Genomic DNA, 26,394 nt, shown 5'->3' on the forward strand with positions numbered 1-26,394 from the left:
AATTTTTATTTTAAACTCTAAAATTGTATAACAACTTAAAAATATTTTATCAGTAATACTGTTTACTTCTACCTGGGAGTAAAAGTAAACCCTTCAAATTTACAGCTTACATTTGTAGGCACATAAGCATTTATTATAAATACAAATTGTCTCCTATAAACTGTATATTGTGTATATATGTCACATTTTTTTTGTCCATTCAACTCTTAATAGACACTTAGGTTGATTCTGTATCTTGGCTATTGTGAATAGTGCTGTTATAAATGTGGGAGTACAGACATTTCTTTGACATTCTGTTTTCCTTTCTTTTGAATATGTATACCCGGTAGTGTGATTGTTGGATCATATAATAGTTCTATTTTTAGTTTTTTGGGGAACCTCTATACTCTTTTTCATAATGGCTGTACTAATTTATATTCTTACCAACAGTGTATAAGAATTCTCCTTCTCTGCATCCTTGCATCCTTATTTTGTCTTTTTGATAACAGCCGTTCTAACTGGCATGAAATAATATCACATTATAATTTGTTTGCATTTTCCTGATGGTTAGTAATGTTGAGCATTTTTTAATATACCTGCTGGCCTTTTATATGTCTTCTTTTGAGAGATGTCTATTCAGTTTATTTGCCCATTTTTGATCAGATTATTTGGGTTTTTGCTGTTGAGCTCTTTATATATTCTGGATATTAATCTCTTACTGGATAAATAATTTGCAAATATTTTCTCCCATTCTGCAGATTATCTCTTTACTCTTTTGTTTTCTTTTCTGTGCAGAAACTTTATTTACTTTTTTAGTGGCTTTTTTTTTCTTTCAGATCTGGGAATACATATACAGGTTTGTTATTTAGGTAATAACTTGTGCCATGGGGGTTTGTTGTACAAATTATTTCATCACCTAGGTACTAAGCCTAGTACCCAATAGTTATTTTTTTTTTACTCATCTCCCTTCTCCCAACCTCTACCCTCAAGTAGGCCCCAGTGTCTGTTGTTCCCTTCTCGTATTCGTGAGTTCTCATCATTTAGCTCCCACTTATAAGTGAGAACATGTGGTATTTGGTTTTCTGTTGCTGTATTAGTTTGCTAAAGATAATGGCCTCCAGCTCCATCCATGTTCCCACAAAAGACATGATCTCATTCTTTTTTATGGCTGCAATAGTATTCTATGGTGTATCTGTGACACCATTTTCTTTATCCACTCTGTCACTGATGGATGTTTAGGTTGATTCCAATTCCGTATCTTTGTTATTGTGAATAATGCTGCAATGAACATTCATGTGCATCTTGCTCTTTATGGTAGAATGATTTTTATTTCTCTGGGTATATACCCAGTAATGGAATTGTTGGGTCACAAGGTAGTTCTGTTTTGTTTTGTTTTTGTTTTTTTTAAGATAGGGTCTCACTCTGTCTCCCAGGCTGGAGTGCAGTGGTGCAGTCTTGTCTCACTGCAACCTCCACCCCCCAGGTTCAAGCAATTCTCCAACCTCGGCCTCCAGAGTAGCTGGGACTACAGACATGTACCGCCGTGCTGGCTAATTTTTGTATTTTTGGTAGAGATGAGGTTTCACCATGTTGGCCAGGCTGGTCTTGAACTGCTGACTTCAAGTGATCTGCCCACCTCGGCTTCCCAAAGTGCTGGGATTATAGGCGTGCACCACCACACCTGGCCTGGTAGTTCTGTTTTTAGCTCTTTGAGGAATTACCATACTGCTTTCCACAATGTTTGACCTAATTGACACTCAGACAGTGTTTAAGTGTTGCCTTTTCGCCTCAATCTTGCCAGCACCGTTATTTTTTCACTTTTTAATAATAGCCATTCTGACTGGTGTGAGATGGTATCTCATTGTGATTTTGATGTTCATTTCTCTAATGATCAGTGATATTGAGCTTTTCTTCATATGCTTGTTGGCCACATGCATGTCCTCTTTAGAAAAGTGTCTCTTCATGTCCTTTGCCCACCTTTTAATGGGGTTGTTTGCTTTTTGTATAAATTTGTTTAAATTCCTTATAGATGCTGGTTATTAGACCTTTGTCAGATGCATAGTTTGCAAATATTTTCTTGCATTCTAAGGGTTGTCTGTTTACTCTGTTGATGGTTTCTTTTGCTGTGCAGAAGCTCTTTAGTTTAATTAAACCCTATTTGTCAGTTTTTGCTTTTGTTGCAATTGCTTTTGGCATCTTTGTCATGAAATCTTTGCCTGTTCCTATGTCCAGGATGGTATTGCCTAGGTTGTCTTTCGGGGTTTTTATAGTTTTGGGTTTTACATTTAAGTCTTTAGCCCATCTTGAGTTGAAAGGAAGGGGTCTAATTTCAGTCTTCTGCATATAGCTAGGCAGTTATCCCAGCACCATTTAGTGAATAGGGAGTCCTTTCCTCATTGCTTGTTTTTGTCAGCTTTGTTGAAGATTAGATTGTGATCTTCAATCCGATTGAAGGTTGTGGGTGTGTGGCTTTATTTCTGGGTCCGCTGTTCTGTTCCATTGGTCTATGTGTCTGTTTTTGTACCAGTACTGTGCTGTTTTTATTACTGTAGCCCTGTGGTATAGTTTGAAGTTGGGAAATGTGAAACCTCCAGTTTTGTTCTATTTGCTTAGGATTGCCTTGGTTATTTGGACTGTTTTTTGGTTCCATATGAATTTTAAAATAGTTTTTCCTAGTTCTGTGAAGAATGTCATTGGTAGTTTGATAGGAATAACATTGAATCTATACATTGCTTTGGGCAGTGTGACCATTTCAATGATATTGATCCTTCTACTCATCTGCATGGGATTTTTTTGTAAAAGCTATTTAATTTGGTATAATCCCATTTGTCTGTTTTTGCTTTTGTTGTTTGTGCTTTTGAGATCATCTCCACAAAATCTTTGCCCAGACTAATGTCCTGAAGCGTTTCCCCTATGTTTTCTTCTATTAGTTTAATAATCTAAAGCCTTACATTTAAATATTTAATCCATTTTTAGTTGATATTTTTTTAATTCATTTATTTTCTGTCGCCCAGGCTGGAGTGCAGTGGCACCATCTCAGCTCACCGCAACCTCTGCCTCCTGGGCTCAAGCAATCCTTCCACCCCAGTATCCTGAGGAGCTGGGACTACAGGTGTGCGCCACTATACCCAGCTAATTTTTGTGTTTTCAGTAGAGATGGGGTTTTGCCATATTGCCCAGGATGGTCTTGAACTCCTGGGCTTAAGCCAGCCACCCACGTCAGCCTCCCAAAGTACTAGGATTACCGCGCTCAGACCATTTTTAGTTGATTTTTGTATATGGTAGGAGATAGGGATCTAGTTTGATTTTTGTTTGTTTGTTTGTTTGCATATGGATATCCATTCTTCTCAACAATTGAAGAGACTGTCCCTTCTCCAATAAATGTTTTTGGTACCTTTGCCAAAAATCGGTTGGCTGTAAATGCATGGATTTATTTCTGGGTTCTCTATTCAGTTATTTTGGTCTATGTGTCTGCTTTTATGCCAATATCATGCTGTTTTGGTTACTATAGGTTGTTGACATCAGGAATTGTGATGCCTCCAGCTTTGCCGTTTTTGCTCAGGATCACTTTGGCTATTCAGGATCTTTTGTGGTTTCATGCAAGTTTTAGGGTTGTTTATTTCTACGAAGAATGTCATTGGTATTTTGTTACACTGAATCTGTAAATCACTTTGGCCAGTATGGTTATTTCAACAGTATTAATTCTTCCAATTCATAAGCATGGGATCACTTTCCATTTTTGGTGTGTTCCCTTCAATTTCTTTCATCAGTATTTTGTAGTTTTCATTGTAGAGATCTTTCAACTCTTTGTTTAAAGTTATTCCTAAGTATTTTATTTTACTGTAGTTATATAAATGGGATTGCTTTCTTGATTTCTTTATTACTTCCCCTGGGTATAGAAATGCTACTGATTTTTGAATATTGATTTTGTATCATTCAGCTTTATTGAATGTGTTTGTCAGCTCTAAGAGGTTTTTAGATTTTCTGTATAAGATCATGTCGTCTTCAAACAGGAACAATTTGTCTCCCTTCTTTCCAATTTGGATGTCCTTTATTTCTTTCTCTTGCCTGATTGCTCTGGCTAGTATTATGTTGAATAAAAGTGGTGAAAGTGGACATCCTCATCTTATTCCATATCTAAGAGGAAATGGTTTGAACTTGTCCCCATTCAGTATGTTGTTGGTTGTGGGTTTGTCATTGATGGCCTGTATTGTGTTAGGTACGTTCCTTCTATGCCTAACTTGTTGAGAGTATTTATCATGAAGGGATGTTGAATTTTATCAGATGCTTCTCTGTGTCTTTTGAGATGATCATATGGCTTTTGTCCTTCATTTTGTTGAAGTATCATGTTTATTGACTTGTGTACATTTTGTCATCCTTGCATATCTGGGATGAATCCCACTTGATCATGGCAAGTGATCTTCTGATGTGCCACAAGATTTAGTTTGCTTGTATTTTGTTAAGGACTTTTACATCTGTGTTCATCTGGGATATTGGCCTGCAGTTTGTTTTTTTTTTTAATAGTGTCTTTAACTGATTTTGTTATCTATATAATGCTAACCTCATAGAATGAGTTTGGAAGAAATCCCCCCTCTTGATTTTCTGGAAGAGTTTGAGAGTAATCGGTGTTAGTTCTTTAAGGGTTTGGTACAATTTAGCAGTGAAAGCATCGGGTCCTGAATTTTTCTTTGATAGACTTTTTATTACAGATTCAATCTAGTTACTTGTGTTCTGTTCAGATTTTCTATTCCTGGTTCAATCTTGGTAGGTTGTATGTGTCCAGGAATGTATCCATTTCCTCTAGGTTTTCCAATTTGTTAGCATATAGTTGTTCATCATAGTCTCTAATAAACATTTATAATTCTATGGTATCTATTTTAATGTCTCTTTGTTTCTGATTTTATTTATTTTGGTGTTTTCTCTTTTTTTTTCTTGGTTAGTCTAGCTAATGGTGTGTCAATTTTGCTTATCTTTTTTAAAAACCAGGTTTTCTTATTGATCTTTTGTATTTTTTAAGTCTCAATTTTGTTCATTTCTGCTCTGACCTTTGTTATTTCTTTCCTTCTACTTTGCTTTTCTAGTTGTTTGAGATGCATCATTAGGTTTTGTATTTGAAATCATTCAACTTTTTTGATGTAGACATCTGGTGGAGCAGTTGCCTTTTCTAGACTTCCTAGTGTTGCAAAGGGAAAGATTAGTGTTCCAGTTGGGAATGGTGTGGTGAGTATGTTTCCAGATAGGTGCAGTGGTATAGTCTCTTTGCAGCTTCTTGACCTGTGTTCAACATCAGCAATAATATGAGTGACTCAGTGGTATAGGCTGTAGAAGTTTGTGGCAGTGGTGGCAGCAGCATAGTTTTTTTTGTTGTTATTTTTGAGACGGAGTCTCGCTCTGTTGCCCAGGCTGGAGTGCAGTGGTGCGATCTCGGCTCAATGCAAGCTCCGCCTCCCTGGTTCATGCCATTCTCCTGCCTCAGCCTCCCGAGTAGCTGGGACTACAAGCACTCGCCACCATGCCCGGCTAATTTTTTGCATTTTTAGTAGAGACAGGGTTTCACCATGTTAGCCAGGATGGTCTCAATCTCCTGACCTCGTGATCCGCCCGCCTCGGCCTCCCAAAGTGCTGGGATTACAGGCGTGAGCCACTGCGCCCGGCCGGCAGCAGCATAGTTTTTAAGGTACTCAGTTGCAGCAGTTTGGGAGATCCTCATGTTTTCATTTTTCCTACAATAGGAAGACTTAGCTGACCCTGCTGTTAGGTCTGACATGGTCTACAAGCAGCAGCAGTGGTGCTTGGAGCAGCAGTGGGGCCACAGTACTGCATCAGAATCCCATGAACCTTTTGTGTTACCTGGGTCTTTGGGTGCAGATTCACCCTCTGTGGCAGGGTTGGATGTAAGTTTCCCACAAGAACTAGGATCTGTGACAATGGAGGCACCCTCCAGCAGCTCGGAACCAGAGGGCTCAGTTGTAACTGTGGTTTTACTCAAGCCACAGCACTGGCCTGACCCTGGGGAAGCAGGGATGTTCTGGAGGTTTGGGCTGGGGGAGCAGGGTACACTGTACAGTAGTGACTTTAGACACTGGGATGGTGGGTGTTGGCTGTATCCCAGACTCTGTGAGGCTGGGTGCAGCAGCAGCAAGTACCCTAGAATGGTGGAGCTCAGCTGTCATTTGGGCCCTAAGGGTGGCAGGTGGCCTAAAGGCACAGTGATGACTCTACTTCCCAAGGAAAGGGGTGTCTCTGCAACTCGGACTCGTGGGGGTTAGTCTAGCTTCAGGCAAGCAGGGTACTAGAGTCATTGTGTAGGGTGGGGTGTCTCAGCTCAGCCACTGCTCTTGTTTCCCTGGGATGCAGCATACTGCATCAGCTCAGCCCTGGGATGCACAGATGCTTAGCTTAGCCAGGTCACTGATTTCCCAGAGGGTGATAATCCACTTCACCATAGACCTGTGGGGCATTACTGTTCTGGGCAGCCCAGGTTCCATTTCTCATGATACTGGGTGCTACTTCAGCTTACCAAATGGGGTCGTGGTTTCTCTGGGCAGCCAAGGCACCATTTCCTGGGATGCAGGGCACTGCTTCAACCCTGATGGCAGAGGGGTGTTACTGCTCTGAGTGGCCCCAGTACTCTTTTCCCAGGAGGCAGCATACTGCTGCAGCTCCAGCTTGAGGGGGTGGGAGAGGGGTAGGTGGAGTGCCTCCACCTCTGCTTTGACCCTACGTGTAAGGGTGTAACAGCTGCTCACAACTCTGCCTGGGGAAGTTGGACCACCAGACTGGGGTGGTTCAGCAGCTTAGCCTTAGAGATGAAGGGGAGCCATGGCTACTCACCCCTGAAGCAAGGTACACTTCAGCCATAGTTTCAATTCCAAGATGGCAGTAGCCACACAGGCACTGGGGGCAGGACAGAGTGTCATTTTCCCTTGGGAGAGCACAGCTATTTGGACCCCAGGCAGCTCCTTCAGCTGGCATATTGCTTGTCAGGACTGCAGGTGACCCCAGTGGTGAGGTCTGTAGATGTCCAATGTGTTGATGGAGGTTGCTGGGATCCTCTTGCTTACCTCCTTGCCATAGGGAGAAGTTCTCCTGATTCCCACTTGATCCTGGCTGGGATTTGGGGTGGTAGGAGACTGGTGTTCCCTTTCATTCTCAATGTGGCCATCCTGAGTTTTTGTGCTCACCAGCGTTTCTGTTACTCCACTGATGTCTCCAGAGCTCTCCCTGGGTTATTTTCATTAACATAGTTGTATATTTCATTGTTCTTGCTGTCTTTGTGAAAGGGGCAAGTGCTAGTGGCTTCTAGTCAGCCCTTGCTGATATCACTCTCCAAAGCCACCAATTTTAATGTACATTGCAGTTTCAGACATTGTAGTATTGGGGGAGGTGTCCATTTTAGAACTGATGAAATACTGTAAGTAAGTGGAGATAATATTACCATGTTTGAAGTTTGGAAGACATTGTAAAGATGTCAATTCTCTTCATATTAATCTGTAGATTTAATGTAATCCAGCAAAAATCTCAACCATGTTTATGTGGAGTTTGAAAAAGCAGCTTTTTAGGTAAATGAAAAAGAAGCCCAAAAGCAGCCTGTATACTCTTATGAGAATAAGGTGGGAGGACTTTGTGTACTAGATATCAAGCTATAAAGTATACTACAGCAATTAAAACAGTGTTTTACTTGTGCAAAGACTGACAAACAGACCTGTGTAACCCATACTCATAAGGTCACTTGATTTGTGGTAAAGGTGGTACTACAGAGTAGTGAGGAAAGGATGATGCTGAAACAACTGAATGTCCTTACTGGGGAAAATAAAAAGAAGTAAGATTTCTACTTCATAGAAAATGAAGAAATCAGTTCCAAGTGGAGTAAAGTTCTAAATGGAAAAAGAGCTTTAGAAGATAATAAAAGGGGATATATTTATGACTGGATAGAGAAAATTTCTTAGTCAAAACCCCCAAAATACTAATGTTAAGAGAAAAGATAGTGGCTCACTCTTGTAATCCCAGCAGTTTGATTGGCTGAGGCAGGAGGATGGCTTAAGCCCAGAAGTTCAAGACTGCATGAGCTATGATTGCACCACTGCCCTCCAGCCTGGGCAACAGAGCGAGATGCTGACTCTTAAAAAGAGGCCGGGTGTGGTGGCTCACGCCTGTAATCCCAGCACTTTGGGAGGCCAAGGCGGGCGAATCACGAGGTCAGGAGATTGAGACCATCCTGGCTAACACGGTGAAACCCCATCTCTACTAAAAATACAAAAAAAAAAAAAAAAAAAAAGAGAAAATAAATTGGACTGGACTACATCAAAATTAAGAAATTCTGTCATAAAAAGACACATTTAAGAGCATGAAAAGCAAAAACAGTTGTTCTGGATGTCTTTTATGTACAATGATGATGAATAAATTGATATGCTTTTATCAAAATGGTTAGTATTCTACTATATATTAAAATAGTAATATTAATTTTTCTTGAATTTTACAAAGAAAAAATTTGAAATTATATTGAAGCATCCACTGAGTACTTACTGTGTCCCAAGCACTGGTTACTGTTGTGTTTGGCAGTTCTTTTTACTAATCCTTTATTGGATATGTGGTTTGCAAATATTTTCTCCCACTCTGTGGCAGGTCCTTTCGTCCTTTTAACAGAGTCTTTCATAGAGCAAAAGTTTTTAATATTGATAAAGTCTAATTTATCAATTATTTTTATAGATCATGCCTTTGGTATCAAGTCTAAAATTTCTTAATCTGTAGTTTCACCTCTCCCTTTTTTTTTCTTGTCTCTTGTGTTCCTTTAACAAACCCTAGTAGTCCTCAATATAACATCTGAATTACAGGTTGATATATTGTAATAATACACAGAAAATATCAAATAAGTATGTTTATGATTCAGATTTTACTTTCTGGTACTAGAAGATATTTTATGGTCGTTTTATACTGCCTAAACTTGGAATCAAAGAATCCTGGTCTTTCATTGGAAAATGATATGTAGAGATCATCATCTATGTTCCTACAGACCAGATGTTACTAACTTTTTATTTATTTATTTATTTATTTATTTATTTATTTATTTATTTATTTATTTATATATTTTGAGATGGAGTCTCGCTCTTTCGCCCAGGCTGGAGTGCAGTGGCGCAATCTCGGCTCACTGCAAGCTCCGCCTCCCGGGTTCACGCCATTCTCCTGCCTCAGCTTCCTGAGTAGCTGGGACTATAGGCACCCGCCACCATGCCCAGCTAATTTTTTTTGTATTTTTAGTAGAGACGGGGTTTCACCATGTTAGCCAGGATGGTCTCGATCTCCTGACCTCGTGATCCACCAGCCTCGGCCTCCCAAAGTGCTGGGATTACAGGCTTGAGCCACCGCGCCCAGCCTGTAATTAACTTTTTAAATATAAAAAGTCACAAATCTACACTCATATTTTCCGTGTAAGATTATGGAATTTTTACTTGAAGTCTTTGATTTTATACTTGCGTCTCTTTACGTCTGTGCAGAAAACCTTGGTTCCTAAGATGATAATTGCTTTATCATATAACCTACCTACAATAGTTTCAGGTTTTTTTTTTTTTTTTTTTTTGAGATGGAGTTTTGCTTTTTTTACTCAGGCTAGAGTGAAATGGCGTGATCTCGTCTCACTGTAACCTCTGCCCCCCAGGTTCCAGTGATTCTCCTGCCTCAGCCTCCCTAGTAGCTGAGATTACAAGTGCCTGCCACCACGCCCGGCTAATTTTTGTATTTTTAGTAGAGACGGGGTTTCGCCATGTTGGCGGGGCTGGTCTTGAACTCCTGACCTCAGGTGATCTGCCTGCCTCAGCCTCCCAAAGGGCTGGGATTACAGGCGTGGGCCACTGTGCCCGGCTAGTTTCAGAACTTAAATACCAACTTTACTACTATACAATAAGACTTCTAAATGCAGCTTAAATTTTGTTTATATTTTCTTATAGAATGTATCTCATAAGAAATGTACAGTCAAAATATTGTTTTTTTTTTTAAAGTCACTTGTAGTCACTATTTTCACCTATTCTGTTACCAACTTGACATACAACCAGATTTCAGTGTTTTCTTTTTTTCAATTTTGGGGAGGATTGCTTCTTTTTCCCTTGTTTAGTTTAATTTTGTGTTTTAGTTATGCAAAAAATTACTAATTTTTTAGTAATTTTTATGTACATTTTAAGATAACAGGACATTCTGTTTCTTCTTCTGTTATCTTCCTTTGTGGATAGATGACCATTTTCTTTTTATTTTTGGGGTTATTTTGAAAATATTAGATATGTATATATTCACCCTTATGCAAAAGTTAGCATATTCTAGATATTGTTCTATACTTTGCTTTTATTCAATTAAAATTCTTTCTCAGAAATCACTTCATTATTCTATAGAGATATTTCTCATTCCTTTTTATGGCTGTGCACACATGCACACCAACTTTCCTAGACAGGTATTTGATTAATTCTGCACACCCCCATGACCTGGACTAATATTCATGTATATTTCAAATATAAGGTTTTTATTCTTGTGTAGAATAAATTGTATAGACAATTACATTCTACGTAATTAATGCTCATTTGAATTTTACCCATTCTTTTGCTATTACAAATAATATTGTATTGAATATTCTTGTATATGTGTAATGTCATTTTATATTGCTAGAGGTGAGATTGATATATCAAAGGGTTAATGAGGGCTGGGCATGATGGCTTATACCTGTAATCCCAGCACTTTGGGAGGCCAAGGCAGGAAGATTGCTTGAGGCCAGTTCTGGAGGGATGGAGAAAGGGAAGGAGAGGGCAACGTTACTAGTTGTTGCCAAATTCTCCTCAATGCTGTGTACCATTTGACTTTCTTACCAACAATGGAATGAGAATACCCATTTTTCCTCAGTCTTACCAAAGAGTGTGTTGAAGGGTCATTTTTAAATTATTGACTTTAGGTTTTTCCTGCCACCCAGGCATTGTAAATCAGGGTTGTATGTTTGGGGCCTGTCTTATGCATATTGGAGACGGGGTGGAGTTAGGGAGGAAGTATGTGTTTGACTGCTCAACACCAAGGTTCTAAACTGAATTGGGGAAATGGGTGACAGCAGATGAGACTGTAAATTCACATTTGCTCTGTAGATATATTTGTTTGTCCCAGCTCTGTTATTTAGGGCAGTTTCTTCTTAGAGTTCTCACTTTGGTTGAACTTTGGGCTTTGTCTCCTATTTCCTCCATGTTCGTTGACTACATGGAGAATTACAAGAAGCCAAACTATCAATGACACATAATAACCTAATGTTATGCACAATTATGAAGTATTGTTCTTTGTCCCTGATAATGTTTTTAATAATTGTAATAGATATTCGTTGAGAGTGGAATATCCAGTTACCATTAATGAATTTTTTTCACCCACCATGGGGGATTGGGAATATTGTTTTAGAAACTGTTTTTGTGGGTCTGGAATAAGACCCACACGTGCCTTGGGAAAGATTTTTAGAGATTCACTTTTTCCTTTGATAGACTTGCTTATTGGGCGGTTTTCTGCAGTCTGAGGAATAGGGCCAATTTGACTGTCAGTCTTTTGTTGATTAAGTGAGAGTGCCATCCAGTGGGAGAAAAAGCTAATACAAGTTTTTTAAACTTTAGAATATGCAGAGGAAATTATTTCTTGTGCTAAGTTATGTTCTCCAGAAGTCCACAATACTAAAAAGTTGGGAACTGTATGTTGGAAGGTGAGAGAAGTGGAAGAAAGTAGTCTTGCAGAACAGTAGCACGCATATAATAGGGACCTAATAAGTAGCCGTTATTACCATGATTCTTCTTCTTGCGTGGAAGTTGGTGATCAAGTTAAATAATAGGTAAATTAGGAGCTTCTCTGACAGATATTTGTGATTAATACATGTAAAATTCTATTGTCATTTTTTGACTATGTGATATACAGATATTATAAATTTTATCCTTTTTTGTCTTTAACCCTATTACTCAGGACCCACCCCTGGTCCCCAAAAAAATGTTACCAGTTTCTAGTATATCTGTCTTAAAATATTACACTCTATTATAAACATGTATGTATATTTCTTGGCATACTCATTCATTTAACAAATAGTGTGGCTACTATGTACCTGGCACTCTTCTAGGCGGGATAAAGCAGTGAACCTCATGTTCAGTGTAAGGTATGCATATTCTACATATTGTTCTGTACCTTGCTTTTTTCGTCAATAAGTTTCCCTCTAATGACTGTTATAGCTGCATCCCACAAATTTATTCAATTCAAAATACACCCTTGTGATTTCTGCTTTGGTCCATGGATTATTTAGAAGCATGTTTAATTTCTAAGTGTTAAGAAATTTTAAAAATGTCTTTCTGTTATTAATTTCTAATTTAATTTGGTTGTGATAAGAGAACATGCTCTATATGCTATCATTCCTTTAAATTTGTTCAGACTTGCTTTATGGCCCAGCATGTGGTCTCTCTCATTGAATGTTCCACATTGATTTAGAATGAAGTACCTACTCTGTTATTGTTGGAGTGTTACGTAATTACCATTTGAGTCAAGTTGTTCAGGTCTTTTAAATCCTTATTTATTTTGTCTATTAATTCTGTTAATTACTGAAAGAAGAAGAATGAAATTTCTACCTATAGTTCAGGGTTGTCTCTTTCTCTTTTCAGTTCTGTCAGGTTTTGCTTCAGGTATTTTTATATGGTTATTAGGTGCATACACATTAGGTTATTATGTGTCATTGATAGTTTGGCTTCTTTATCATTATGAAGTATTGTTCTTTGTCCCTGATAATGTTTTTAATAATTGTAATTTTCTTATGGTTAATGTTTAAATGTTATGGGTTTTCCCACCCTTTTTCTTTAAATATAAAAACATAGGTTAAAAGTGGATTTCTTCTATATAGCACTTTCTTGACTTTTCCTTTTCTAAACCTCTCTTACAATCTCTTCCTATAATCTTAATTTTTTAAAAAAAATCAGTTTCACTTTTTCTTTGCAAAATGTAGTATGAAAAACTATTGTCTTTTTAGCTTGTGATTATTTGCCTTTTTGTTTTCTTTTTTAAAATTTTATGTGCAAATAGTGTATAACAATGATGTAAAATTTGCAAGATATGAAAGAGTTTATATTGAAGAGTTAGTCTCCTTCCCTTCCTATACCCCTACTATTATATTCCATACACAGAGGCAATCATTTTGTCTAATTGTGTACTGTTCCACACATGCTATAACCATTTATAAGCAGATATGAATGTGTTCTTTTTGCTTTCACCCACGTTATTGTATATTATATATGCTAGTTATATAAATCTTTGTATAACCTTTTTAGTTGTGAAATGTACCATACACAGAAAATTGCATAAACTTACAGGTACAGTAATAACGAATAGTTATATAATGAACACCTGTGTGATCATCAGCCAGGTGAAAATATAGAAAGAAGACATCCAAATATCATTTCTCAGTTAGAACTCCGTACCCCAGAGGTAACCACTCTCCTGACCTTTATGATAATCATTTCCTTGCCTTTCTTTTTGCTGTTACCACTTATACTTACATCCCTAAACAGTGTAGTTTATATTTACCTGTTTTTGAAATTTATATGAATGGAGCAAAACATACCTTTTTCTTTTTAAAATGTGTTTTTGCTTTCTTCACTCAGTCATGTTCATAACATTCATTTATATTGCCTATAAGGATAATTTATTTTCTATAGATGTCGTTGTATGAATGTACCACAAGAAAACACATCATAGGAAAAGGTTTTTTAAATTTTACTGTTGGTGGGCACTGGATCATTTCCAGTTTATTACGCAAATAATAGTGCTGTAGTGTGCTTGTACGTGTGTGCTCTTACACTTCAGCACTCATGTCTGGGTATACAATTAGGAGTAGAGTTGCTAGAGCACAGGGTGTGCTGCTCTTACATGTTAATTCCAAAGTACTGTACTTTTCCAAAGTACTGCAGTAAAATTTTATTTCATACCTCCATAGACTTCTCAACCCTGGGTATTGTGTGACTGCTAATCTCGTAGTCATGTAGTAGTTTCCCATTGTGTTTGAATTACTAATGAAGTAATATATTTTTTGTCTTATGAAGTAATTGTATATAATTATTTTGCCCATTTTTCTTTTGGGTTGCATACTCTTTTTTTTTTTTAACAATTAGTATTCTTCATTGGTGATGGAAAATATACAAACGTGTATATGTGTGTGGCTGGCCAATATCTTTTCAGACTCTGTGACTTCATTGTTTTTATGAGCAGAGGTTCTGGGTTTTAACATAGTCAAATGTATTGGTCTTTATGGTCAGACTTTTTTCCCACAGGAACATGAAAATATTCTCCATAAGCTCTATACCTTTCCCTTTTACATTTAGGTCTTTACTCCACTCATACAGTTGTGGGAATACAAATTGTCATAGTCTTTCTGTGGGCAGTTTGATGATACATATCAAAATTTTGAATGTGCCTATCCTTTAATCCAAGAATTCTACTTTAAGAAATTTATCTTGGCCAAATACATTAAACATTGTACAAAGATGTCTATGTGTATATATACAGATGCCAACACAACATTTTCCTACCCATTCTATGGCAAATAAGTGCAAAGGGTAAAGGTATCCCTGTTGAGTGATATCATCAGCCGCCTGTATTTTGCCAAGTGCCTAACAGTGTAATATAATCTTTATCAGTCACTGTGGAGCTGTAAGGAAAGTATCTTACCCAAAAGGATTTTATATAATTACTTTGAAAACTCTCATGTAATTTCATTATCACATTTATGATAAATTAGGTGGTTAGCATTAGCACATTTTAAGATGGAAGGGTCAAGTGATAGACTGGGGAATCATTGAAAAAACTTTGCAGTAAAAGTGTTTAATATCTAAGGCTATTATAACAGTGAAATAAATAGAGATTGCATTGCATTCTGTAAGACCTTAAGTTTGGTGCTTTTTTTTTAAGCAGAGAACACAGTAGATTAGGAAAGAATGCTTATTTATTTGCATTTTGGATACCTCTAGAACAGTGGTTTTCAATGGGGTGGAAGAGGGGACAGTTTCACACTCCTGGGATTATTTGAGCTGTGGGCAATCTCTGGAAACATTTTAGATTGTTAGAATTTGGGACTGTGGGTTGGGTGGGGACAATGGTGCCGGTGAGTAGAGCCCAGGAATGCTGCTAAACATCCTTCAATGGACAGGAAAGCCCCTACAAATTTATCTGGCCCAAAATGTCATTAGTGTCAATATCGAGAAACCCTGCTTTAGAATGATTGTTTCTATGCGTTGATAATAAGTTAGCCTCTAATTTGGGTCATATTATAAAGGTACTTGACCTGGTATGGGGCATAAAGGATTTTCTTGGAGAGGTGACATTATGACAGTATACTTTGTTACATGAATATGTCATAGAAGACATCATAATCAACCTGCATTTAACTAATTCACCAAATTTGTGATGTTCTGCATTCTTTTTACGTAACACTTTGCTAGGTTCCTGTGGCTCTCTCTAAACACGTAAAGCCACCTTCAGCTTGCTGCCACTGTTCTGCTTCTGTCAGTTGCGTTGTTTACCAAGATCTTATTGTGTTTGTTTGCCTGCTTATTTATGTAAAATCAGTTAAATATGAACACAAACTATTGACAAGATTATATAAAGGATATAGTTGGTTTTTTTCTATGCAAACAAAAGTGACTGCTTTGGAAACACTCAGGAAGAAGAAAACACTAAAAAATGCTATGGAATGGAGCAAGTAAAATTGTTTTACTCACAAACAGTTGTAAATTGTTTGTAAACAAAGTGTTTTACTCCATTCCACAATTTTTTTTAGTGTTTTCTCCTTCCTGAGTTGTCTCCTCCTAGTTTGAAGAGCCCGAGTAGGAGGGTGGAAATCGTAGAATTCAAGGAGGATTCTCTACTTGGCAAGTGCTCATAGATTTTTTTTTTCTTCTATTTAAAGTAACCAAAACTGGAAATTACCTAAAACCTATGAATTTGTTTTAGATAGGGAAGATGATGAGGATTCCAGTCAGTGGATATATCCTCAAAGAATGCTGGCAAACGAATCTGTATGTTTTTACTTGAAATGTCTTGTTTCCAATTAACAACTGACTGCCAGCTCCAATCACATCAAAAAATTCTGTCTACAGTGAATGTTACAGAATTTGAGAGTAATACTGGTAAAAATGTTATCAACTACTTATTATGATTCAGAGATATACTACATAGAAATTATGATTATATTATATAGGCTTGTGTATTTGTTGCAGGTAATCTTTAAGTATTTCAGATTATTGAGTCTTTGTCATCATCCTTCAGATTAACTCTTCCATTATATTTGTAACTCTACCTTGTCTTACCTTTTTTTTAATAGTTAAATTTTGCCTAGAGATGTATCAGTAATTCAGTTATTTGAACTAAAAAAAGTTAGAAAGGCACCTTATACTGAAGGTATCAAAAGTTTCATTTATCACTAATGTATCTAATCCAAGAAGATATGAACAGCCATTTTAAAGACAAGATTCCCACTTCAATGAATGAAGTTAATATTCTAGTCCCTGATTTAATTCCATATGTTCCTTTATAGTAATCATTAAAGTATAAATGCAGTATTTAATTTTTTAAAAGTAGATGTCACTGTTGGAAGAAGAATGCCCATGAGCATCATGGGAGAAAATATCAGGCGTAATTCTCCTTCCAGATGGCACCCCTACAGGTGAGGCAGCAGCCTGTGAAATTACAGTCTGAATTACACTGCAGATGAGCGGGGCATTTGGACCAGAGCCTTCTGATATCAGTAATAAATGACTTGGTTCAGAACCAAGGACAATTCCCAGGAATTTAAAGGCTGTTGTATCACATAGGGAGCCTATCGTAAAATGAAGTTTAGCAAAGTGGAAAGTTGAGAGAAAGGACAATGACCATTAGCAATACGTATGTGAATCTTTTCATCTGCTAATATTTTTAACTGGATATTTTATCTCATGAATGTCTTATTAGTTCTATATATATGCTAGTATTTGCATTGATTTTTCCAAACTAATATTTTCACAATGAATAGTGGCTAAGGGCCAGTTGCCAACTGAGATATTACTCTGAAATGATTGCACACCTGTTGTAAATTCTAATCTTGTTTAATATGGTCTATGGAAAATTTTTCATTTTTGCAATGCTTGAATCCTTAACAAATGTAGTATAATACACATACTAAATCTTATTTTCAATTAGACAAATCAATTTAAGAGGCAACATAAAAGGGTGATTCAGAACTTGTATAGTGAGATCAAGGTTCGAATTCTGTCTCATTCACTCCCCATTTATGTGACCGAACTATTATTTTAGATCGCAACTTACTTAACATAAATAAATTAAATTGGAATAACAATAAATGGTGCTTTGGGGAAGAATTAAATGAAATAATTTTTATAGAGGCATCACAATGAATTTTAACGATTATCACCACCATTATTTGTCAGTTTTAATTTTAGAAAACAAAATATCATTTTAAAATAACATTTTAATTTCTACCACAAAAATAAAAAGCAGTTTCATTTTAACAAATATAATATTACACATAGTATTAATAACTTTTATTTATTCATTTTAAAGTTACATATTGAGTTCCTACTATGTACCAGACACATTTTCAGCCTTCAGGAATATAGCTTCAAACAATATGACAAAGTCCTTGATCTTGGAGCTGATATTTTAGTAAGGAGACAAAATAAAAACAAAAATAAATAGTATTTTCATTCATAAGTGCTATGATGAAATACAAAGCAGGATAAAGAAATGGAGCTTGATGAAAGAAAAAGAAAGGATATTTTATGTAGGAACATCAGAGAAATTCTTTGTGATAAGGTAACAGCTGAGCTGAAAGATAGAATACTAGAAAACAATTTGACAATGACAAATCAATACAAACTTTTTTGGGCCTTTGTCCAAAAAGGATTGGAATGTAGTGAATACTTAATTTGTACTAAAGTGTTAATTTTATTTATTTTATTTTCAGTTTTGAAACACAGCAGTCTTGCAGATAGGGACCATTTTTTTCACCAAATCTATTATGTTTTACCAGCCAATCTTTTCTTCGTAAGATAGATGCCTTCCATTTAATAATTCCTTGGCATAAATTATAATTCACTATAAGCAACAGTTGAATGCCTATTTATAAGCATTTGTGTGTGAAATCTGCGTGAATATGTCAGATTGGTAAAGATTTCTTAGTTGAATCCCATAAGTCCCTTGTTCTTTGAATACATAGATAATATTAATGGGGAACTAACTTGTAAGAATTTTACATATTACTGAAGTACTCTATCCAGAAAAACATGTTTCTGTCAAATCCTTAATTTTCCTAATGTAACATATTGATAAACAAGCTTTGTTCCTAAGCCTCTGTTTAATAGGCAGTTATTTTTGTATCAATGAATCAGTGAGCTGGGGGGAATAGGTCAATACCGACGTAGAGTTGCCGGCAATTCAGTTCAGTTCCTTTATAAGTGATTCAAGCATGAGAGCTGTATTTTCTATAAATTAAAATTGCTGTTAATCTCTTGTGAAGATTATCCATTCTGGGTTTGCAGGTTTTTCTTGTTCTAGAGAAACCTTTAAAATGTTTTTTTAATGTGGTTAAAGAATATTATACTTACCCCACTGATCATTTATTTGTGAACAAAACAAATGAGTGGATGAGAACAGTTTTGATATAGAATGCTAAAGTAAAGGTAAAATTAATGTTGGTTCACCCTGAGCAATAAGATGTACTATGTGCTGAGCACTTGGCTTTCCCTGCTGCATAGGGCTGTTGGGGGGTTGGACCCTAGAAGGAGAAAGACTGACTGAAACTGATAGTGATTTCTCAGTCATGATTATTTGTCATTTGTATAATAAACTGTGAAGCACAGTATTGGAATGTAGCGTATTTGTGACACCAGTAGTGGCAAATTCTTTTTTCATTTGTACTGTATTATTTACCCTTTCTTGGTAGAGGATTCATTATCATACTCTAAAATCGGTAGTACACCAGGATCATGTTTCATGAATTTTATTTCCATGAACACTAGTTCTGCAAGGTGTTGATAGATGTTAAATAGAAAAAAAAAAGGTCTGTAGTCAGAAAGTGGGTAATACTTGGTTAAAATATGTTCAGCAGTTCTCTTTACCATGAGAACTACTCAGAACTTTTAGTGTGCTCATGCACATTATGAATCTCTAATAGGAGGATATGGCAGCTGGCGTTTCTTAAACCTTTTTGACTAAGGATCCCTCCACTTTCTTTTTTGTTTTTTTTTTTAATACCAAAAAGAAAGTCACTAGACAGGAAATTATTTGGGAAGTGGTTTTCTAGACTAGAGTTTCTCAACCTTAGTGCTATTGACATTTTGGGCCAGGCCATTCTTTCTTGTAAGAAGCTGTCCTGTGCATTGAAGGATGTTTACCAACATACCTTGGCTCTACACAGTAGATGCCAGTAGCATCTCGTTCATCCCCCACCCCCAGTTGCAACAATCAAAAATTACTCAGACATTGCCACGTGTTCCCCAGCAGGCAAAATCAAGTGGAGAACCACTGCTCTAGATGGATATTGCATCATTCCAGGGAGTTATAGGGCTTGTTAATAATGTCTATCCAAACATTTTTTAATGAGGAAGAAAGAGTAGTCTGGAAAGTAGAATCATAGATAAAGAAAATGCAGTATATTTTACCACAATAAACTTTCTGGGTTCACTTTATAAGCTGGCCTGATTTTCCAATAACTTACTGCAAAAAAAAGTTTCAGATTTTGCAGAATATTATTACATCTGTGGCAGAAAAAAAAATATTCTGTAATTAAAAGAGTAGCACCGATGTTTAAATTGACCTGCTTATGAGAGTATTGCACATTTCTAAACTCTTTTTTTCCCCTTTTTTTATGCAGGGCTATTTTCTTCTGTTTGAGTCTATGTTAGATTCTGTCCTTTATGCAAAGAACAAATACTTGGCAAAAGGAGGCTCGGGTGAGTATAAAATTCTGGTTTTAATAATCTAATTTTAGTCTAGCAGAACCAGATGAACCTTTGGATTTCAAATAAACTATGCATGGCTGAGGAAGTTCCCGATAGGGTTGAAAGATGTTTGCATTACAAGAAGCTTTAAGACATTTGTTTACTATATTGTTGAAAGTAGAATATTATATAAGACATGGGGGACTCCAAGGTAATGGTATTCTCAAGAATGCTTTTATTAAAAGGTCCTTTTAATAAATATCTAAAGACTAGGTTTTGGAAGCTTTTTGATATTCAAACTCAAATCTAACAAACTCCTTTTTATTTTTAATCCTCATGTCATTTAGTTCCCTTTTTTCCCAATGGCATATTTCATTCTAAGTTGGAAATTATTCACGACTTCACTAAATCTGTAAACCCGACTTCTCTGTGATTTTCTGAGAACATTTCAAGTAGTGACTGGTTTCTAATGAGTTTTAAAAGTGCCACATAACCAATCCACATATAAAGGGATCCTAATAAATTTGGAAGGCTTTCTTTTCATGTCTCTGGAAAACATTTAATCATATTAACTCTGCATACTCAGAGTGAGATTCTGTTTTTACAGACCATCTGCTGTGAGCAATTATATACATACAAAATAATTGTCTTTCAGGACAGGGATTGTGTTTGTTTAGCTTTAACTCTTAAATGAGCTCCACAGCTTCTAGGATGTAGATGGAGCATCATCCATGTTTATTGAATTGAATCATTTAAAGAATCATTAAAACTGAATTGAATGGCATGTTCCTCCTTCACTTACCTCCCTGCATCTTAACCTTTCTCAAAGCTTCAGAATCAGTAAATGGTTTCCATGGTCAGAATACAGTTGGTAAAACTGTCACATGAAAGGGGCAGGCATTTCAAACTAGTGATGCAAAGGACTTGACCATAGTTATGCCTCCTACCATCCATGTTCTATGAAATTACTTTGGCAGTTTTGGTACAGTTAAAAATCAGGCCGGCTGGGTGCAGTGGCTCACGCTTGTAATCCCAGCACTCTGAGAGGCCATGGCAGGCAGATCACCTGAGGTCAGGAGTTCAAGACCAGCCTGACCAATATAGTGAAACCCCGTCTTTACTAAAAAAAAAAAAAAAAAAAAAATCCAAAAATTAGCTGGGCTTGGTGGCAGGTGCCTATAGTCCCGACAGGAGAATTGCTTGAACCCGGGAGGCAGAGGTTGCAGTGAGAGGAGATCCTGCCACTGCACTCCAGCCTGGGTGACAGAGCGAGACTCCATCTCAGAAAAAAAAAAAAAAATCAGTAAGGCCAAAACATAAATACAGAGAAAATTCTCCAGAACAAGAGAGTTCTTTTTATAATGGCATTTAAATGGATTGCCTTTCTTTTTCAAAATGTGCCCATTTTATCACTTTATTTTCTGCAACCATTTCAAGATATGTTCCCAATCTCTGTCATGAACCTGGCTAGAATTTTTAGATATATTTTACCCTGCAGCAATTGGCTGCAACTTTCTATGATTGCAGTGGCTTTGTTTTTTTAATGACTACTCCAGGTTGAATATCCCTTATCTAAAATGGTTGGGACCTGCAGTGTTTCAGATTTTGTGTTTTAGGGGGGTTTCGGAGTACAGTCTTTGCATTATACTTACTGGTTGAGCATGCTTATCTGAAAATCGGACATCTGAAATGTCGCAGTGAGCATTTCCTTTGGGTTCATGTCAGTGCTTAAAAAGTTTTAGAACATGGAGCATTTCAGATTTTCAGATTAGGGATACATAAACTGTAACATTTAATGACTTAAAAACAACATTATACATCATTTGTTGACCATCTACTGGCTGCCAAACAATATACTCTACCTTCATTTATGTTACTAGACATAATCCTCACAAGAGCCCTTTGAGATTTTACAGTCTCCTAAAAGTGTCCTGGATGACACATATTAAATGGCTAAACCATGATTTTTTTTAAACTCACATCTGCCAGCCTCCAGTATTCATGTTCTTTTTACTAAGCCTTGTTTTCCTACTAAAATGTATTTTTTAAATGTGATTATTGCCTTGACGTTCTAGGGAAGATCCAAGTAACTGTTTCCAGACCTGCCTGACTTGATCTTATTGAGGAACTGACAGCAACTTAATACATTTAAATTGAATTCTCACTGAAATTCATTAAGAACTTACAGCAATGTGAACAATGGCAGAGCTATTTCTTATCATCAGAGGGATAAAGTGGAGGTTCATATATCTAGCTCTTTCTATACTTTTATATAGCTAATATTAGTATTAAGATAATACAGGGGTATATTTAAGAGAGGTCAGCATTTAACTCCTTAAGCAGTGCTGTTGAATCTTATTTGTTAACAGAATCAAGAGAAAGAAAGTTCAGAAAAGAGTAACAAAAAATAGTCTATTTGTGTTTTTGAGTATGTCTTGATGCGTATCACCAGTCATTTAGATGCTCATTGTTTTATCACAAAGCAAAGTTTTCCTTTCTGTTTTTCTGAAGGAAAGATTTACCAAGTAATTAGTAGTAAAAAGGTGATAGAAAGAATGAATGCAGTATGAGAGAGGGAAAATATTGAAGGCCCATACAAACGTGATGGGACCACAATTTATTTTTACATGAGTTTAAGTTCAATTTATGTCTCACCATACATATTATGGTGAGCAGTAAAGGCTTTATAAAGCACAGGCAATAACTGGGATGTTCATCTACCCCATTATCAATCAAGCAATTCCACTGTGTTTTAGAGTTATATATTTACTATCTTACTTCTAAGAAAACTAATTTTGTAAAGTTCATGAAAGCAGGTTTACTAGCAACGATTTCTACTATTTCTAGCTAATATTTACTAAGCACTAATTGTGTATCAGGAATTGTAATGTTTTACATGCAGCCAACAAGAGATGAGGAGGAAAAATAGGAAAATATTGGTTATGACCAATGGGTGTTTTTACAACTACGATTAAGACTAAAATAAATGTATATTTTAGGAGACAACATAGAATATAAATGTTTTATGTGCTAACCGTGTCAAATACTCCATCTCACAAAAATTGGAAAGGGAATGCAGACAGCAGGTAGAAGTGTTCACATTTTAATTGCTTTATCTTTAATAATAGAAACTTAAAGAATATTATTTAAAGCTGATGGATCAAGTAGTAGAATTATTAAGTACATTTAGCACTACGAAGCTAACATTAAATTGAGTGATGAGGTTGGTGGTGGTAGATCCTGTCTATGTCTCTTGACTATGGTGGTGATTGCATAACTGTGTGACTTTATCAAAGCACATGCAAATATATACCAAAAAGAGTGAGTTTTGCTGCATATAAATTATACTTCAGAAAAGAGACTTTTAAAATCAGCTGAAGTAGCAATTCCCACCTTCTTCGGGTCAAATGAATTATGAGATAATTTGATTCCTAATTTTTCTGAAAAATAGAAGGGTGCAGGATGGGGGGTAGCAGAAGGAATACTGCTACCAAATATTAAAACACATTATAAAGCCTTAATAATTAAAACAATATATTATTGGTTCTTGAGAGATGCGTTGAAGAGAGTGGTATAGGCCTGACTATACATGGCATCTCATATAATTGAAGAAATGATATACTGTAGCAAATTCTATTGAGACAATTGTGTAAAAAAAAAAAGTAAAGTTTAATCCACACAATAAATTGTACACTGTGAATTTCAGATAATCAAAGATTAAATGCAAGATAAGTCAAATGCTAAAAATACTAAAAGGAAACATAGGTTTATAAACTTGGAGGAAGGGAGTCTTTCTAAGTAAGAACTTTAATTCAGAAACCCTGAAAGAAACACTGATAAATCTAATTGCATCTATATAAATTTCTAAATGGCAGAATATGCTATAAGCAAAGTCACAAGAGAAACTACATACTGAAAATAATTTTTCAATTTCTGTCACAACAGAAAGCTAATCTCTCCCACATATAGGTAGATTATATAAATAAATAGACGACAAACCCAATAGAAAATTGGACAAATAATTGAACGGTGGCTTACAAAGAAGGAAATACAGATGACTCTTAAACATGTGCTCAGTCTCTGTCGTACTAAGAAAAATGTCTTAAGAAATCTTTGCTTTACTCAAGGTCACACAGAATTTTCCTTTGTTTCTTGGAGTTTCAGTTTTTACATTTATGTCTATGATTTATTTCTAATTAATTTTTGTGTATAGTGTGAGATAAGGTTAGATATTAATATTTTCTAGCACCCTTAATTGAAATGCTGTTCTTTCCCATGAATTGCTTGGCATATCTTGAAAATTAATTGGCCATATTCATGTGAGTCTATTTTTGTGTTCTTTTCATTTGATCTTTAAGGCTGTCCTTTCACCAGTAACATACTGTCTTAATTACTGTAACTTTATACTGAGTCTTGGTCAGGTAAGGAAAATCTCCCCATTTTGATCTTTTTAAAAATTGCTTTGATAGTTTGGTCATGTGGCAGGGGGGAGTTTAAAATAAATGTTAGAATCTGGCTATTTCTGCTTTAAAAAAAAGACTGCTAGAATTATGAAGGGATTGGATTGAATGAATTTATCAATTTGGAATTGGATAAATTTGGAATTGGAATGATCAGCATTTTAATATTGAGTTTTACAGTTCATGACTATAATGTATCTTTTCATTTTTAAGTTGTCTTTTTTATTTTTATTTTTTAATGGAGTCTGTCCCTGTCACCCAGGCTGGAGTGCAGTGGCACGATCTTGGCTCACTGCAACCTTTGCCTTCTGGGTGTAAGCAATTCTCCTGCCTCAGCCTCTCGACTAGCTGGAATTAGAGGCGCCCTGCCACCACGTCCAGCTAATTCTTTGTATTTTTAGTAGAAGTGGGGTTTCAGCATGGTGGCCAGGCTGGTCTTGATCTCTTGACCTTGCTTGCTTGCTTTCCTTTTTGGTGTTTTTGTTTTGTTTTTGCCTTGTCATCTCATTCCTTTGCTCAGAGCAAAATAAGCTTAAATGTTACCATTTTCCTTACTTTGTCCTGAAATTTTATTTATCTCCACTCTTTTCAACCCCCTTTCTCCTTCCTTCTCTTCCAACAAGTACCGTTTACCTTAGGAACCTGGGGTTCCTCTTTCCGTTTCTTCCATTTGAAAAGCATTAAAATGTGGCATCATGCATAATGGAAAGCATATGGATTTCACAATTAGACCTTAAGTTGAATCTCTGCTGTGTCAGCTGACTAGTTATCTGGTTAGCTGAAGAAGACCAGGTATTTATTTGGGCAAGTTACTTTCTGCCCAAGTTACTCTCTGAATTTAAGTTTAATTTATAACATGAAGATTATAATCCAACTTTGTAAAATTATTCAAAAGTCTAAATGAGGTGCTTGACACAAAGTAGTTGCTCAATAAATGTTAATTCCCAGTCAGAGTTACAACTGGTGAACATGAGATTAGCAGTAGGTTTATACTTTATAAAAGTTATGAAATGAATTTAAGCATTGTGGTATTAACACTTACCTTTTATACAGCACTTCACATTTTCTACACTTTTACATAGATTATCTCAATATAATCAGCCACTGGCATTGGTTCATAGTGCTTAAAGGATTCCTTTAGTATTTTCATAACTGTCTACTTCCTCATCTTCAGATCTGCATTTTTCACATTTATTAGTTTGAGTTTGTTCAGTAATAGAGCAGTAGTGTCATTTTTTATTTTTCAGCATATAATTTTTCAAAGCATATTACAGCTATATGTTAGCCTTAGCTAAACGTTAGTGGGTCTTGTCATTATTTATAAATGAATGATGGGGAAATGAGTCCAATTTCCAAATAAATATTACTTTTTAAAGATACCTTTATTATATAAACTAGAAATTAATTTTTAAAGCTCATTTAATTCCCATTTGGTGACTTTCTAGTACATTTTCTTTTATGCATATCAAGCATTTTTGCTACCATTGTTATTTCACTAAAATCTTCATATTGTTCATATATATCATGAAAAAAGTGGTTTATTTTGACTTATTTACTATCTCCTTTGTTTTAAATCTTTTTACTCTGTGGTTATTTATACAAACAGTGATACAAAATTCCTAGTGTTTACTAGAAATTGTTTCTTTATGCATCTCTATCTTATCCTTTAGTGTCCAAAAGTTTATGAGGCATTTCTAAGGGATAAAGGATTTCCCATCTTTATCTATTCACCATGTGAGCCATTCTAGTGACAAATGAATTCTGGGCAGTGAATCGAGAAGGACACAGATGTCAAAGCCATGAATTTATAAATGGTCTGTTAAGAGCATGCTTTTGTCCAATCAGCGCTTTGTTAATTTCACCTACAACAAGAAATAATTATTCAATTATAGCTTCTATCTGACAAAAATCAAATGACAAATGTGTCAGAATGCAAAGGTAAAGGGTCAGGATTCTGGCAGGTGGTCCAAGATTTTAGCCAGCTGTGAGGA

The 26,394-nt window shown here is 36.0% G+C and overlaps 1 protein-coding gene and 1 long non-coding RNA gene across 7 annotated transcripts in view, besides 1 other annotated feature; both read left to right on the forward strand.

Annotated features, from left to right (window-relative positions):
• Positions 1 to 26,394, forward strand: part of PRMT3 (protein arginine methyltransferase 3) — a 121,623-nt gene that overhangs the window by 44,538 nt on the left and 50,691 nt on the right. For all 6 annotated transcript variants that reach the window (NM_005788.4, NM_001145167.2, NM_001145166.2 and 3 more), the window contains one exon: positions 19,877 to 19,955. In NM_005788.4, coding sequence (NP_005779.1) covers positions 19,877 to 19,955 — 79 coding nt within the window. The remainder of the gene's footprint in view (positions 1 to 19,876; positions 19,956 to 26,394) is intronic.
• Positions 9,317 to 17,818, forward strand: LOC124902808 (uncharacterized). Its single transcript, XR_007062965.1, has 2 exons — positions 9,317 to 15,512; positions 16,588 to 17,818. It is a non-coding gene; the product is annotated as an uncharacterized LOC124902808 (long non-coding RNA).
• Positions 18,233 to 18,402: an enhancer, noted in NCBI's record as "experimental_19926 CRE fragment used in MPRA reporter constructs". NCBI's record gives its function as "activates a minimal promoter by MPRAs in K562 erythroleukemia cells, with activity observed for the introgressed 11:20472117 variant allele {active_cell/tissue: K562}" and the evidence as "EXISTENCE:reporter gene assay evidence [ECO:0000049][PMID:34662402]".

The sequence above is a fragment of the Homo sapiens genome, chromosome 11, assembly GCF_000001405.40.
Source record: "Homo sapiens chromosome 11, GRCh38.p14 Primary Assembly".
NCBI lineage: Eukaryota > Metazoa > Chordata > Mammalia > Primates > Hominidae > Homo > Homo sapiens.